Source organism: Homo sapiens, chromosome 1 (assembly GCF_000001405.40).
Source record: "Homo sapiens chromosome 1, GRCh38.p14 Primary Assembly".
NCBI lineage: Eukaryota > Metazoa > Chordata > Mammalia > Primates > Hominidae > Homo > Homo sapiens.
Genome location: NC_000001.11, coordinates 29005245 through 29020590, shown reverse-complemented (window position 1 = coordinate 29020590; position 15346 = coordinate 29005245). Strand labels below are relative to the sequence as shown.

The following is a 15346-nucleotide window of genomic DNA, read 5'->3' as shown; positions in this document are numbered from 1 at the left end:
GTAAAATATTTTCTTTTACTATTTTACTGATTGCCCAAGGGTTATATTATAACTAATAAAAAATATTTTTAAATTATTAGGTAATAAAAATAACATTTCCCTACAGTATTGACATTCTAATTAATCAAATTATTTTGTTTCTTTCCAGTACTTGCTTTTCTATGTATATATGCATATATTTTTATATGTCCCTATTTTTTATATATGTAAATGTTGAGAATCATAACCAGAATATAAATAAAAGTGCTGTAATCCCAGCACTTTGGGAGGCCGAGGCAGGTGGATCATGAGGTCAGAAGTTCAAGACCAGCCTGGCCAAGATGGTGAAACCCCGTCTCTACTAAAAATACAAAAAATTAGCCAGGTGTGTTGGTGGGCGCCTGTAATCCCAGCTACTCAGGAGGCTGAGGCAGAGAATTGCTTGAACCCGGGAGGTGGAGGCTGCAGTGAGCCAAGATTGCACCACTGCACTCCAGCCTTGCCAACAGACCAAGATTCCATCTCAAAAATAAAAATAAAAAATAAAAACAATAAAAATGTATTCAAAGACAATGTAACATGCTTAAGTTATAGTCATCAACAAGTTGAAAGTGGTGTATTTAGTGACTCCAGACATTGGTACTGGAATAAGTCAAAACTTAAAAAGCAAACGTGCAGTTCTCTTTGGAAATAGTGTGACCCCAAGAGAGATGGGTAACTCTTATAAGACTACTGCTATGTAGGTTGTAGACTTTAAAGTCCTTAGTATGGTCCTCATGACTGAGGTACCTGAACCTACAGGGGCAATAACGCACCTAGAATTCAGACATCTTAAGTTACAGCTCTCTCATTTGAAGCATCCCAATCCATGCAATCCTATTCCAACTACCCCAAGGAGAACAAGATGGCTCAATGGCTGGAAAGAATAATTTTTACTATCATGGCAAGCCTACCGACACCACTCTTTGGATTTCTCTTTGAGCAGTGTGATCCTTTGGAACTTTGCAACCTAACTCATGCTAACGTAACTTAGGGTACTAATTCAAGGCCAAGGTCAGATTTTCACATTAATATGCTAAGGCAGTTTACAGAACTAAGCTATAGCAAGTCACTCAAGTAACAATGAATGTATGAGGAGGAAGAAACACAAATTATTCTGGCACTTTAATATTAGCTAATATTTACTGAATTTTTTACCACATGAAAGACATTGTGACATTGTATTCAGTATTTTACACACATCACCTTTCAATGGTGTGATCTCAGCTCATGGCAGCCTTGACCTCCCAGACTATCCTTCTACCTCAGCTACTTGCCACAGGAGTGCTCCATCATGCCTGGCTAATTTTTAAATTATTTGTAGAGATGAGGTCTTGCTATGTTGCCCAGGCTGGTCCCAAACACTCGGGTTCAAGTTATCCTCCTGCCTCGGCCTCCCAAAGTGCTAGGATTTCAGGTGCGAGCCATTGTGGTCAGCCCACAATACCTTTTCTAAACCTAGCAGTCCCCCTAGTTTCTCTGAGGTGATAATCTCCATCAGAAATATAAGAAACCTGAGGCTCAGAGACATTATAATTGAAAGACCTAAGGTCACAAGGTTGGAACCAACGTCAAGATTTCAACCCAGCTCAGACTGACTGTAAACTCTTGTTCTTGATCACTTGATAACTCCCAGCATTACCAATCATTTTCATGTATAAAAGCAGTATAGTCAGTAAATTTAATAAAGACTTTTAAAAATACTTCCAAGAGTTTCACGGGCCCTCTGAAATCTATCCATGTATAAAGATCTCAAATTAAAAACCCCTGCTCTAAGGATCTCAAGGTACCTAATGCAGCATAATTAGCTTTAAATCTGATAAAAAATAAAAGGTAAGGAAACAAAAATAATAATAGCTGCCATTTGCTGAGCACTGAGCCAGCCACTGTGCTAAGTGCTTTACATATATTACCTCATTTAGTTTTCACCCTACAATGCAATGCCTATTACTCTGATGAGAAAGCTTAGATTAAGAGAGGTTAAGTAACCTGCCCAAAGTCAAACAGTGGAGGAAACTGACTCTTTCTATGGCACCATGATCCCTCTTAGGCAAACAATGAACCAATACCATGTTGTGTTTAAACTAATCGCCAAAACAAACACCGAACAAACCCTGGAGACATATTCACCTGTATGACTTATGCAGTTCCATGACCTTCTCTTCAAGTTCCTTGGTCTGATTCGGGGCCAGTTTAAAATCACTAACATAATCCACGCCATGGAGTTCTGGGTCGTAGTCTCCCAGTTCAGACTGGATGGTGTAAGAACCTAATAATGCTAAGGTTGCAAAGGAACAGGGCAGACGTCCTGCAACTATGTCCTGCCGAAGCTGAAGACATAAATAATATCTACAGCCAAAAGAGAAAAATGTTATGTCAGCAACAACAACAACAAAATATAAAGAGAGAAAAAGGAGAAAAGGGGAGAAACAGAAAGGGAGAGAGAGAAAAAATAAGGACACAGAAGAAAAGAAAGCAATTAAGTAAATATGAGATAATAATAACTTCAATCTAGGTAGTTGGTATATGGTAGTTCATTGCGCTATTATTTCTCTCTGTGTGTTTGAAATTTTTACATATTAAAACTTAAAAAAAATACTGTAACTATATTGGACACATTTAGAAAGAGGAAAGGTTGGAAAAGTCTAAAGGAAGTAATGAAACTACTATTTTTTTAAGTATACTAAGTACCACAGATATATAAATTATCTCACCTAATCTTCACACACACACATAAAAAAAACTTGTGAGGTAGGTATCATTGCCAGATTATAGATGAGGAAGCAGCTCAGAAGCTTAGCGTGCTCGGTGTCAGGTAGTAATGAAGACTGGCTCCAAAACCAGGCCCTTTCTTTTCTATCACATTGCTATGCCAAGTGTGCAGATATAGTCCTTCATATACAAAGATGACATTACTGACATTTTCACTAGGATATAAATATTCTGGTGTATTTTCTCTCCAAGATGAGTTAAGTCGCATGCAGCTTTCTACATACTATTAGCCACCTTGTAAGACTAATCCCATCTGTGTGCTAAACTGTTGGGAACTGCACAGTTTGCAGTTAAAACAGTTCAGTCCAACAAACCAAATGAGTGCCTTACCACGCTGACACTTTTCTCTCCATCAGTGTAACGTTCACACCTATGGCCCTGACTTCCTTACCACGTGTTCTAACTGACTGAGTTCACCAATTCAGACAGTTTTACCAAACAGGAAAGTATTATTAAATTGACAATTCCTAAATTAATTAGAATCATATCTTTGCTTCTATTATAAGATATTAAATAACATTTTGCTATAATTAGTCATAACGTACATTTTTTTAAATGTCAGAACAATGCCAAACAAGGCACAAAAATTTTAAACTCCTCTAAAATGTAAATAATTAGCAAAGATTTTTAGAAATGTGTTTTGTTTTATACATAAGCCTAGACGGAAAAAGATGATTAAGTAGCAACTCCAAAAGACAAATATTACTGTGAAAAAGAAATAACCAAAGGAATCTTTTAAGGCAGAAATCCGGCATCTCAACTTCAAGAATGTACTGAGGATGACTAGATGACAAATAATAAGAAAAAATGGCATTGACTTTGTATAGAACTTAATAATCAGATTTTTAAAGAGGTTAGTCTATTCTCTTATTTGAGAGATATGGAAACTATCTAGGCCTAAAGACTGTAAATCTGCCTGGAATCAGATAGTTGGCAGCAAAATCAGAAATAGAAAGCAGTTACTCAACAACCAACAGTTTAATTTAAGAAACATTTGACAAGCATCTCCTGTGGATAAGACCCTATGCAAGATGTCATGAATATAAATATGCACAGTAGTACTTATAATATATTGATTTTCCATTTTCTTTTTTAGTTAATATTTTTATAGAATCCAATAAAAGCCATTTTCTTAAAAGACATCAGTAGGCTGTTTTTAAAGAGCGCAGGATTTAATAAATTAGGTGGGCTCCAAGGAAGATTCAGTTCAGGGGATTAAGTACTTCATCAAACATTTTAAAAGGGAGATAGGAAGAAATAATAACACTTAGGCTTTCAGCTTTTTTGATACCTATAAGAAGGAAGATGGTGGGGCCGGGTGCAGTGGCTCAAGCCTGTAACACCAGCACTTTGGGAGGCCGAGGCAAGCAGATCACCTGAGGTTAGGAGTTCAAGACCAGCCTGGCCAACATGGCGAAAACCCGCCTCTACTAAAAATACAAAAAAAAAAAAAAAAAATTAGCAGGGCGTGGTGGTGCACATCTGTAATCCCAGCTACTCGGGAGGCTGAGGCAAAAGAATCGCTCGAACCCAGGAGGCTGAGGTTGCAGTGAGCCAGGATCGTGCCATTGCACTCCAGACTGGGCGACAAGAGCGAGACTCCGTCTCAAAAAACAAAAAACAACAACAAAAAGAAGGAACATGGTGGGAAAGGAGTATGAAAAGAGACCCCAAAAAACAAACAAAAAAAACAGTAGAGTCATTTTACCACTATATTTGTGTCTTGCCCTTTGGAGGGTGCTGGTAGAAGCCCTGCCCACAGCTTGGCATAATATCCATGATAAGCAAGGCCAGTTCCCCTGCCAATTTCCTGATACTTATGATACAGGTCACAGATACTCAAGGCTTTTAGATTCACTTATTTGTATGCCTGCCTTGAAGTGACCAGAAACTTTCAATCCTAGGCTACTTAATATCATTATTTTTCTTCAGTTCTGAATACGGAATTAGCAGAGCTTATGGTGGTAAGAATTACTGTCTCATCATACACATTATTATATGATAAATTACATATTTAACTATTACTTATTTACCTTGTTATGTCTTCTGTTAACTGTGCTGGGTCAGGTGGATAAAACTTTACATTAAATGTAAAATTCCAAGGGACACCTATAAAAATAAACACAAAAGAATTTTACGTTTATACCTAAGTTTCTAATTGTTGGAAGTACCTCAAAATATTCAAACATTTCTCTTTTTCTTTTTCTTTCTTTTTTTTTTTTCTTTGAGACGGAGTCTCACTCTTGTTGCCCAGGCTGGAGTGCCGTAGCGTGAAGCGTGATCTAGCGTGATCTCTGCTCACCACAACCTCCACCTCCCAGGTTCAAGCGATTCTTCTGTCTCAGCCTACTGAGGAGCTGGGATAATAGACATGCACCACCACGCCCGGCTAATTTTGTATTTTTAGTAGAGACAGGATTTCTCCATGTTGTTCAGGCTGGTCTCAAACTCCCAACCTCAGGCGATCCACCCGCCTCGGCCTCCCAAAGTGCTGGGATTACAGGCATGAGCCACCACGCCCAGCCTACATTTCTCTTTTTATATTAATACATCTTTAAATATTTTCATGCTTGGTGGATAAAGCAATTTTTTAAAAAGAAGAAAGTTGCTTAGATATCACTTAAGGATTTGTGCTAGAGGATCTCATTTTTTTGCCTGACTTAATATAATCGTTTGATTTATAAAGGATTAGAACTACATAAACAAGGCTGGGCACAGTGGCTCATGCCTGCCATGCCTCACTTAATGACAGAGATACTCTGAGAAATGCTGGGTCTACAGGCATGTACACAACACTCAGCTAATTTTCAGATGTTTTGTAGAGACGGGGTCTCCCTATGTTGCCCAGGCTGGTCTCAAACTCCTGGGCTCATGCGATACTCCCACCTCAGTGTCCCAAAGTGCTGGGATTACAGGCATAAGCCATCGTGCCTGGCCTAAAATTAAGAGATGAAATAAATGTATATATATTGATATGGATAGCACTCCAAATTATGTTAAACAAAAAAGATTGGTTGCATATTTATATTAAAACACACGTTCACGTGTGTGTGTCTATATACATTCAGACCAGCCAGGTGTGGTGGGTTACACCTGTAATCCCAGTACTTTGAAGACTGAGAAGGGAGGCTCTCCCGAGTCCAGGAGTTCAAGGCTGCAATGAGCTAGGATTGTGCCACTCCACTCCAGCCTGGGTGGCAGAGTGAAACCCCATCTCTAAAAATATATATACATATTTAAAATATATATCATATATTATTACACTCAGACCATCTCTGGAAAGAGCACGTTACCATGGTTGCTTCCAGGAACGAAAACTGCATGACTAGGACAAGGAGAGAAGGGAGATTTACCTCGTACTATACTCATATGTATCTTTTTATTTTATACCACATATTTATAACATCTATTTTAAAAATTAAATTTAAAAACTACATATAACATACTTGTAATTTTTATTTATTTATTTTATTTTATTTTTTTCAGACGAAGTCTTGCTCTTGTCCCCCAGGTTGGAGTGCAATGGCATGATCTCAGCTCACTGCAACCTCCACCTCCCAGGTTCAAACAATTCTCCTGCCTCAGCCTCCCCAGTAGCTGGGATTACAGGTGCCTGCCACCATGCCCAGCTAATTTTTGTATTTTAAGTATAGACGGGGTTTCACCATGTTGGCCAGGCTGCTCTCTAACTCCTGACCTCAGGTGATCCACCTGCCTCGGCCTCCCAAAGTGCTGGGATTACAGGCGTGAGCCACTGCAACTGGCCATATACTTGGATTTTTAAAATGCAAAATGTATATATGCCTAGAAAAAAATATTGCAGATTATATCAGTTTAACAGTGATTATATCCAGAGGACAGGATTTAGAGGACTCTTACATTCTTCATGATAATTTCCTACAATGTTTAAATTTCTTACAATGGGTATATATTACTTGTGTGATTAAAAAAAAAAAAAAAAAAAAACTTAAGGGCTGGGCGCCGTGGCTCACGCCTGTAATCCCAACACTTTGGGAGGCCAAGGAGGGTGGATCACCCGAGGTCAGGGGTTCCAAACCATCCTGGCCAACATGGCGAAACCCTGTCTCTACTAAAAATAATACAAAATTAGCCAAGTATGGTGGCACATGCCTGTAATCCCAGCTACTTGGGAGGCTGAGGCAGGAGAATCATTTGAACCTAGGAGGTGGAGGTTGCAGTGAGCCGAAATCACACCATTGTACTCCAGCCTGGACAACAAGAGCGAAACTCCATCTCAAAACAAACAAATAAACAAACAAAAACACAAAAAACAAAATTTAAAAAACCCCCACCTTTGCAATAAATGTCATTCTTCTCTTTGGCTTAAAAAAATGTTTACAGTTTGATTCTCTATTAAAGTTTTTGTGAGGGACATGGTGTTTTTCTTGTTTTGTTTTGTTTTTTTCCCCCATGTTGAAGAAAGCGTTTTTATCATTCTGTAATTTTTTTTTTTTTTGAGATGGAGTCTTGCTCTGTCGCCAGGCTGGAGTGCAGTGGCGCGATCTCGGCTCACTGCCACCTCCGACTCCCTGATTCAAGCAATTCTCCTGCCTCAGCCTCCTGCGTAGCTGGGATTACAGGCATGCGCCACCACACCCAGCTAATTTTTGTATTTTTAGTAGAGACGGGGTTTCACCATGTTGGCCAGGATGGTGTAATTTTTTTTAACTGAAAAATATTAAGGTTCCTTTTCTTAGCAAGATTTTTTTTTAAATACCCAGGAAGATAATCTACTAGATATTCTTTTTTACTCATCATAAACTCTGTTAACTTTTTCTCTTAAAGAATCTTCTTGGATAATCATATGTTCCTAATATTTCATATTAAAAGTATTTTCATTGAAAGGAGCAAGGAGTTATATTTTTCTTGTGGTGTCTCAAATATTCTGAATATTTGTTTGCTCTGACTTGCATTTTAAAACGAGCTTTTATAGGTAGAAAGCAAATACAGAGAGTTATCAGTCCAAAAGAGTATTTTGTTTCTTCCGTTAAGAAAACTAAACAATTACAAATAGGGTCTAAAGAAAAACATTTCACCATAACAAAAGTGTTTTCTTCTAAGAAACAAATGAAAAGTAAAGTTTGTTTTCAGGTGAGTGTTAAAACTTACTAATCATGATAAATAACAACTATTGCATTTCCTGGAAGTTTCTTCAAAACTAAACTAAAAGGACAGGTAGTCTTAATTAGCCATTGGGCCTGGAACTGCAAAATACTAATCTGTACTTTTTTCAGCCCAGAAATATTTATCCCAGGACACCAGTCTGATCAGGGTGTAAAGCGGGACTATACATTAGAGTTAGAGCTAGGAGCAAAGCCACAATGTCAGAAGGGTCAGTGGCAAGCAATTCTTGTCTTTCCATTCTTTTTTTCTTCCACAGTCCTTTATACTGCAGTTTGGAAGAGGACTGTTAAAAGGGATGAAAACAACCATAAAGAGGAAAACATAAAATTTATAATGCAATAGTTCAGAACAATTTCAAAGGAATAGGATACGGCAGCAAACTCCTAGTAGGCAACTGCGGTTTCAAGTCACTACCATTTTGAGAACTGACTCCCATATCCTTTTTCTTTTCTCATCTTTGTTCTTTTCCACCTTCTGTTACTCTCAACTCTTCCTATCTTCCCCAACTTTGCCCAGTTGTAAAAAAAAAAAAATCAACAAAATCTGACCTACATCTCAATAGTATCCACCTCTGCTATATTTTTCTATTATGGAATCTCCTCCTTCCAGGAGAAGGCTTTATCTCGATTTCAAAGCAATCTGCAGTAGTCAGGATTCTAAAGTGACTGACTCACAGCCAGAAATGGTTGGAAATCCTCTGACCTACTAAAAGAAAGAAAGAACTATAAAAAGAGCTATATCCACTTACCACGAACCTGCTTTTTTATTTCTTTGGCGGAATCCAGCCATGTCTGTAAAAAGGAGAAAAGGCATTCACACAGAGCTCCAAAACACATAAACAACAGAGTACTGGAAGCAAGATCACTGACTATCTTCAAATAGTGCCTCCAGATCAACCTGCATTTCCTTTGATAGTCTTTGCATTAATTTCACAAAGCATAGTGATTTTGAGCAGACAAAAAGGGACCCTGACATTTGGGTTGAATATTAGCTCCACTACTTCCTGGCTGAGTGACTTTAGGAAATCTGTACCTCAGTTTCCTCATCTATACAATGAGATATTGGTAGTAGTGCCTACTTCATAGTGTTACTGTGAAGATAAAATGAGTTAATACATGTAAATATATTAGTAAACAGCAAATGCTAAGTAAGCATTGGTTATTTATATTATTCTATAAAGACTAGTAGATAGCTACAACCAGAATTAATTGACAGCATCCACATTTTATTTTCCCCTCCAACCCTGACCTTTAGTCTCCTTCAAGTTTTTTCTTTTTTTTTTTTTCTTTTTGAGAAGGAGTCTCGCTCTATTGCCCTGGCTAGAGTGCACTGGCACAATCTCAGCTCACTGCAACCTCCGCCTCGTGGGTTCAAGCAATTCTCCTGACTCAGCCTCCCAAGTAGCTGGGATTACAGGTGCCCACGACCACACCCGGCTAATTTTTGTATTTTTAGTAGAGATGGGGTTTTGCCAAACATGTTGGCTAGGCTGGTCTCAAACTCTTTTCTTTTTTTTCTTTTTTTTTTTTTTTTGACAGAGTTTCACTCTTGTCGCCCAGGCTGGAGAGCAATGGCGCAATCTCGATGTCAGCCCACTGCAACCTCCGCCTCCCGGGTTCAAGTGATTCTCCTGCCTCCGCCTCCTGAGTAGCTGGGATTACAGGTGCATGCCACCATGCCATGCCCAGCTAATTTTTGTATTTTTAGTAGAAATGGGGTTTCACCATGTTGGTCAGGCTGGTCTCCAACTCCTGACCTCAGGTGATCTGCCCGGCTCGGCCTCCCAAAGTGCTGGGATTATAGGCATGAGCCACTATGCCTGGCCAAAGTTTTCTATATCAGCACAGTATTCAGTACATGGCTTGTGCCCAGTTAACGTTTACTGAATGAATAAATATTTTGTTTTCCCAAACTACTCTTGCCCACGCCAATCTTGTCCTTCACTGTTCTCCCACTCCACTTAGAATCTGCACACCACTAGGCTAGGGCTCCTCAACCCATGGTAGACCATGCAAAATAAGGGCACTGGAAAAGAACCTCACCATTAACATCTTTCATAGGTCCCTTTGAGAAATGTTTAAAGACAGAAATTTCTAAATTTCTAGAATTGTTTAAAACATTTTAATGGAATACAAGATACATGTCGAAAAGTACATAAAACATAAGTATAAAGATCAATAAAATATCAAAGTGAACATATAAGAATTATAACATTACTAGCACCTCAGGAGCCCCTCTCTTGCCTCTTCCTAATCCCTCCCCTTCCCTTGTCCAAAAGATTTAAAATTGAATTTCAGTGGCATTTTATTTATTTATTTAGACAGGGTCTCGCTCTGTGGCCCAGGCTGGAGTTTAGTGATGCAATCTTGGTTCTCTGCAACCTCCGCCTCCCGGGTTCAAGCAATTCTCCTGCCTCAGCCTCCCGAGTAGCTGGGATTACAGGCAACCACCACCATGCCTGGCTAATTTTTTTGTATTTTTAGTAGAGATGGGGTTTCACCATGTTGGCCAGGCTGGTCTGGAACTCCTGGCCTCAAGTGATCTGCCCACCTCGGCCTCCCAAAGTGCTGAGATTACAGGTGTCAGCCACCGTACCCAGAGACAGTGGTATTTAGAAAAAAGGAGTAAGGTGTCCCTTCCTCACCCTCTACCAACAAGGGCAGAGCATATGGTGACTATCCCATTTGCCCTATTGAAGGAATGGGCTTGAACACCACATTTTAAAAATTGATTATATACTACTTTGACTATTATATAATCATTACAACAGACAATAAACCTAAGAGTGGGGACTAGTTTTCTTTTATACTCCCACCACAATTAAACCAGAAAATTAATATATATAATAAATGCCACATATTATTAAATTGTTCTAAGGTATAAAAATAAGCACATACTTGTTTAAGCCTGTCAGAAAGGCGTGACCTGGGTGTTTTCTCCTTAGTCTTTCATTTAGACTAAAGAAAATTTTTAAAAAGTTGCCGTATTTTCAAAGGCAAAGGAAGACTTTAAAAGCACCAACTGAGTTTCATGAAACCTCTGAGAACCTTGGTTTATACCATGCAATCCAGAACTACTACCACTTTTTACCACTTTGGAGTAGGTATTTCTTACCATAGAAGACTCATGTTTTCCATTATTTTAAGAGAATCTCCCTAGGTAAGCTGAAGCTGCCAAGTTCCTTCCAGGGATTCTATGAACCATTCTGAGTCTGTGCGAGAATTTCTACTAACTTGACATAGGGAAGGCAAACCCACTTTTGTGTCAATCATATAAAGACTCCAGGGTATAAGCTACCATGTAGAATAAATTGTTGTTGCTTCAATTACCTACACCTCCAAATCAAAATCAAAAACAAAATCTTCTGGAGATAATAAAAATCAATGTGTACAAGAACAGGTACTTTTATGCTCAATTTAAATTGTTTAATTTCCAGCATTTTAGTTAGCCAACAAATATTTGAGGAATGCTTCCATGTGCTAGGCACTGTGGTTACAAAAAAAAAAAAAAAAGAAGGATTAAAAACTAGCACTGGTCCTTAGGGAGCTGTCATTCTAATCAGGAGGCAAAAAGAGAACAATCAGTTTGTTCGAGGAGGTGTGACAATTACAATGATAAAAAATATGTGCTAGTGCTATGATAGAGCATAGGGTATTCTGAGAGCACAGAGGACATGCACCAAAATGGTTTAGAAGTCAGTTAGGAAATGTTTCTTAATAGAATGTCTGGGGGATCTAAATGGAGTCTTGAAGGACAAATGAGTTAGCCAGGCAAAGAAGAAAACGAAATAATTAGAAAGGCACAGAAGTATAAAAGTGACTGCAATACACCTGAGTTGCTGCATGTGGTTCAGCATAGCTGGAGCACAGAGGCAAAGAGGAGAGATGTAAAACTGAAAAGAACAGTAAGGACCAGACATGGAGGGAGAGTATTCCATGCTAAGAACTTAGACTTTATCAAGTTCTTAGCAAGCGGGAGCCATTGAAGGATTTAAAATAAAGGAGTGACATCAATTAGAGAAAGCATGACTGTAGCCAGGGGGACCAGAAAAGACACTGTTGTTGAGAATGATAACTGTGGTCCAGCAGAATATAATGGTTAAGGGTACAGGCTTTGAAGTCAGACAGTCTTGAATTCCAATCCTGCCTCATCCTCTCTACCATTTAGCAGCTGTGTAACCTTACATAAGACAGTGTTTCTGAGCCTCAATTTTCTCATATGTATAATTGGGATAAAACTACCATCCTCACAGAGTTATTGCAGGTTAAATTATTTGATGTATACTAAAAGCACACAGCCAGTATTCAATAAATGGTACTGATATTGATCAAAAGGGTCTGATGGGATAAAGTCTATGGGACAGAGGAAAAAAAATTAAGAGTTAAAGCTATTACGATTTGTGACTAAGTAAATGGGATGTAGGGGAAGGATGGGCTCATGATGAGGGTTGGTAAGGTATAGTGGTAAAGAATAATTCTCAAGTTGCTGGCTTGGGCAACTGGGTGGATGTGGCACTATTCACTAAAACAGGAAATACAGGGAAAGGAACACATGTTATAAAGGAGAAAAAAATAGCAACAAGAAACAACCTACATGTACATCAACAATTGAATGAATAAATTGTAATATATTTAAATAGGTATATGTTTAAAGTATCTTTGGAAATCCAAGTGGAATATTTCATAGAAAGCTGTATAAGCAGGTCTGGCACTCAGAAAAGAAATTTGGACCAGATATACATTTGGGCACCTTCCTCATGTAGGTGGTAGAATGAACCCATTAAAGAAGATTTAAAAATCACCCAAGGAGTATGTATTAGAGTGAAAATAAAGGGGGAAACTTGGGGAACACTTGCATTTAAGGTATGGAGAGAGAACAAAGAGCTGAGAAGTAAATTGAGGAGAAGAGACTATAGTGGTGAGAGAAAGACAGGAAAGGCTGGTATCACAGTATGTAAAGGAATAGGAAGTTTCAAGGAGGGAGTAATTAAGATCATCAATACCGCAAAACAGACAAGTAACATGAGGATAAAACATGTCAGATTTATCTTGGTAAGAACAGTTTCAGCAGAGCAATAAGGGCAGAAATCAAAATGCAATGAGTTATATCAAGTGCAGATGAGGACATGGCACAGCTGAAACTTTCGCTTATTACTTGTGAGAATGTAAACTGGTAAAACCACTACAGAAAACTGTTTGATAGTATCACTAAAGCTGAACATATGCCTTCTCTAAAATCCGTCAGTCTCACACCTAGGAACATGTCCAACAGAAATGTTTACGGTGAGATGTATACCAAAAGGCACCTACAAGAATGTTCCTAGCAGAAGCATTCGTAAAAGCCCCAAACTGTAAACAAGCCAAATGTCTATCAGTAGTAGAGTACATAAAGTGTGGTGTAGTCAAGCAATGAAATATTATATTATACAGTAACGAGGCCGGGAGGCTGAAGCAGGAGGATCGCTTGAGCCAGGGAGGTGGAGGATGCAGTAAATCAAGATCGTACCACTGCACTCCAGCCTGACAACAGGGTGAGACCCTGTCTCAAAAAAAAAAATTATACAGTAATGAGAATGAACTATTGCTATTTGAAACAGCATGAATGAATCTCAAAAACATCATAATGAATGAAACCAAAGAAACCCTACCTAAGAGAAGACACTGTATGATTTTATTTATGTAAAGTTTAAAAACAGGCTAAAGTGATTGATGGTGATAGACATCAGGATGAAGTAACTTTTTTTTTTTTTTAATTTTGGGATAGGGTCTCACTCTGTTACCCAGGCAGGAGTGCAGTGGCACAATCTCGGCTGACTGCAACCTCCACCTCTCCGGCTCAAGCAATCCTCCCACCTCTGACTCCTGAGTAGCTGGGACTACAGGTGCTCACCACCACACCTGGCTAATTTTTTTGTATTTGTAGGGACAGGGTTTCACTATGTCGCCCAGGCTGGAGGAAGAAGTTACTTTTGATGGGGAGTGGGGAGGAGTAACAACTGATAAGGGGTTGGAGGTAGTGACTGGAAGGGACACAATAGGGGATTTTAGAGTTCTGATAATGTTCATTTTTCTTATCTTGGGGGCGTTTATACAGATGTGTTCACTTTTAAAAAATTCTTTGGCCGGGCGCAGTGGCTCACACCTGTAATCCCAGCACTCTGGCAGGCCCAGGCGGGTGGATCATGAGGTCAGGAGATCGAGACCATCCTGGCTAACACAGTGAAACCCTGTCTCTACTAAAAACTCAAAAAAATTAGACGGGCTGGGTGGCGGGCGCCTGTAGTACCAGCTACTCAGGAGGCTGAGGCAGGAGAATGGCGTGAACCCGGGAGGCGGAGCTTGCAGTGAGCCAAGATCAAGCCACTGCACTCCAGCCTAGGCGACAGAGCGAGACTCCGTCTCAAAAAAAAAAAAAAAAAAAATTCTTTGGGATGTATATGTACGATTTACACCTTTCTTGTGTTATGTTAAGCTAATATGCAGTAAGGCAATAGAGAATAATATATGCAAACCAATTTCTCAAAGAGTATGGTTACAGCATAGAAGAAAGGGTTAGAGCTAGAGGAAAAAAGCAGGATCTTCAGATGTCCCCTAAAATAGTAATTCTGAATAATCTAGTTCTATTTGAATATTTTCAGTGGTATGGATTCTTTTTGAAGAGTCCATTTTATCAATCATATCCTGAGAATTAAATATATTAACACTTTAAGCAGAATTTAAGCTTGTGCATTAAAAAGAATTATATTCCTTCTCTGGCTTAAAAAACAACTTTCCAAATAATATAGAGATGAAGAGCAGCAATATCCTGATATAGATCTTCATTCATTTGGCTAAAGTATTACCCGTCTCCTATGGGTTCTTCTTTCAAAACACCTTCTTACAAGTGGTTTCTTCTACTTGGAATACTCTCTCCCTCCTTCTTCATCTGGAAGATTCCTGACTGTCTCTTATAATTCATATCTGTTATTATCTTCTCCAGAAAACCCCTTCTGACTCCCCATCCATGTGGGTGTCCATCTTACTGCTATTGCCTAGTCAGTCTGGGAGCTCCATGAGGAAAGAGACTGTCTTTTATAGCTCTGCCCAGCACAAGGCAGATACTATTTGAATAATAAATGTTTATGAATGAATGAACAAAGAATAGATGAATGACGCTACTGAAGTAAACCAGGATAGATTAATAAAGTTTCAACTACAGAAATGGCATTTAAAGAGGTAAAATGAATAGGAGCAGACATTGTTTGGATGTGTATCCCCACCCAAATCTCATGTCAAATTGTAATCCCTAGTGTTGGAGGTGGGGCTTGGTGGGAGATGACTGGATCATGGGGGTAGATTTCCCCCTTTGGTGTTGTTCTCATGATAAGAGTTCTCACAAGATCTGGTTGTTTCAAAGTACATAGCATCCCACC

At 38.9% G+C, this 15346-nt stretch overlaps 1 protein-coding gene across 70 annotated transcripts in view; it reads right to left on the bottom strand.

The window, feature by feature from the left end:
• Positions 1–15346, bottom strand: part of EPB41 (erythrocyte membrane protein band 4.1) — a 232942-nt gene that overhangs the window by 99451 nt on the left and 118145 nt on the right. For all 70 annotated transcript variants that reach the window (NM_203342.3, NM_001166005.2, NM_203343.3 and 67 more), the window contains 3 exons: positions 8684–8726; positions 4824–4899; positions 2149–2367 (listed from right to left, as the gene is read on the bottom strand). In NM_203342.3, coding sequence (NP_976217.1) covers positions 2149–2367; positions 4824–4899; positions 8684–8726 — 338 coding nt within the window. The remainder of the gene's footprint in view (positions 1–2148; positions 2368–4823; positions 4900–8683; positions 8727–15346) is intronic.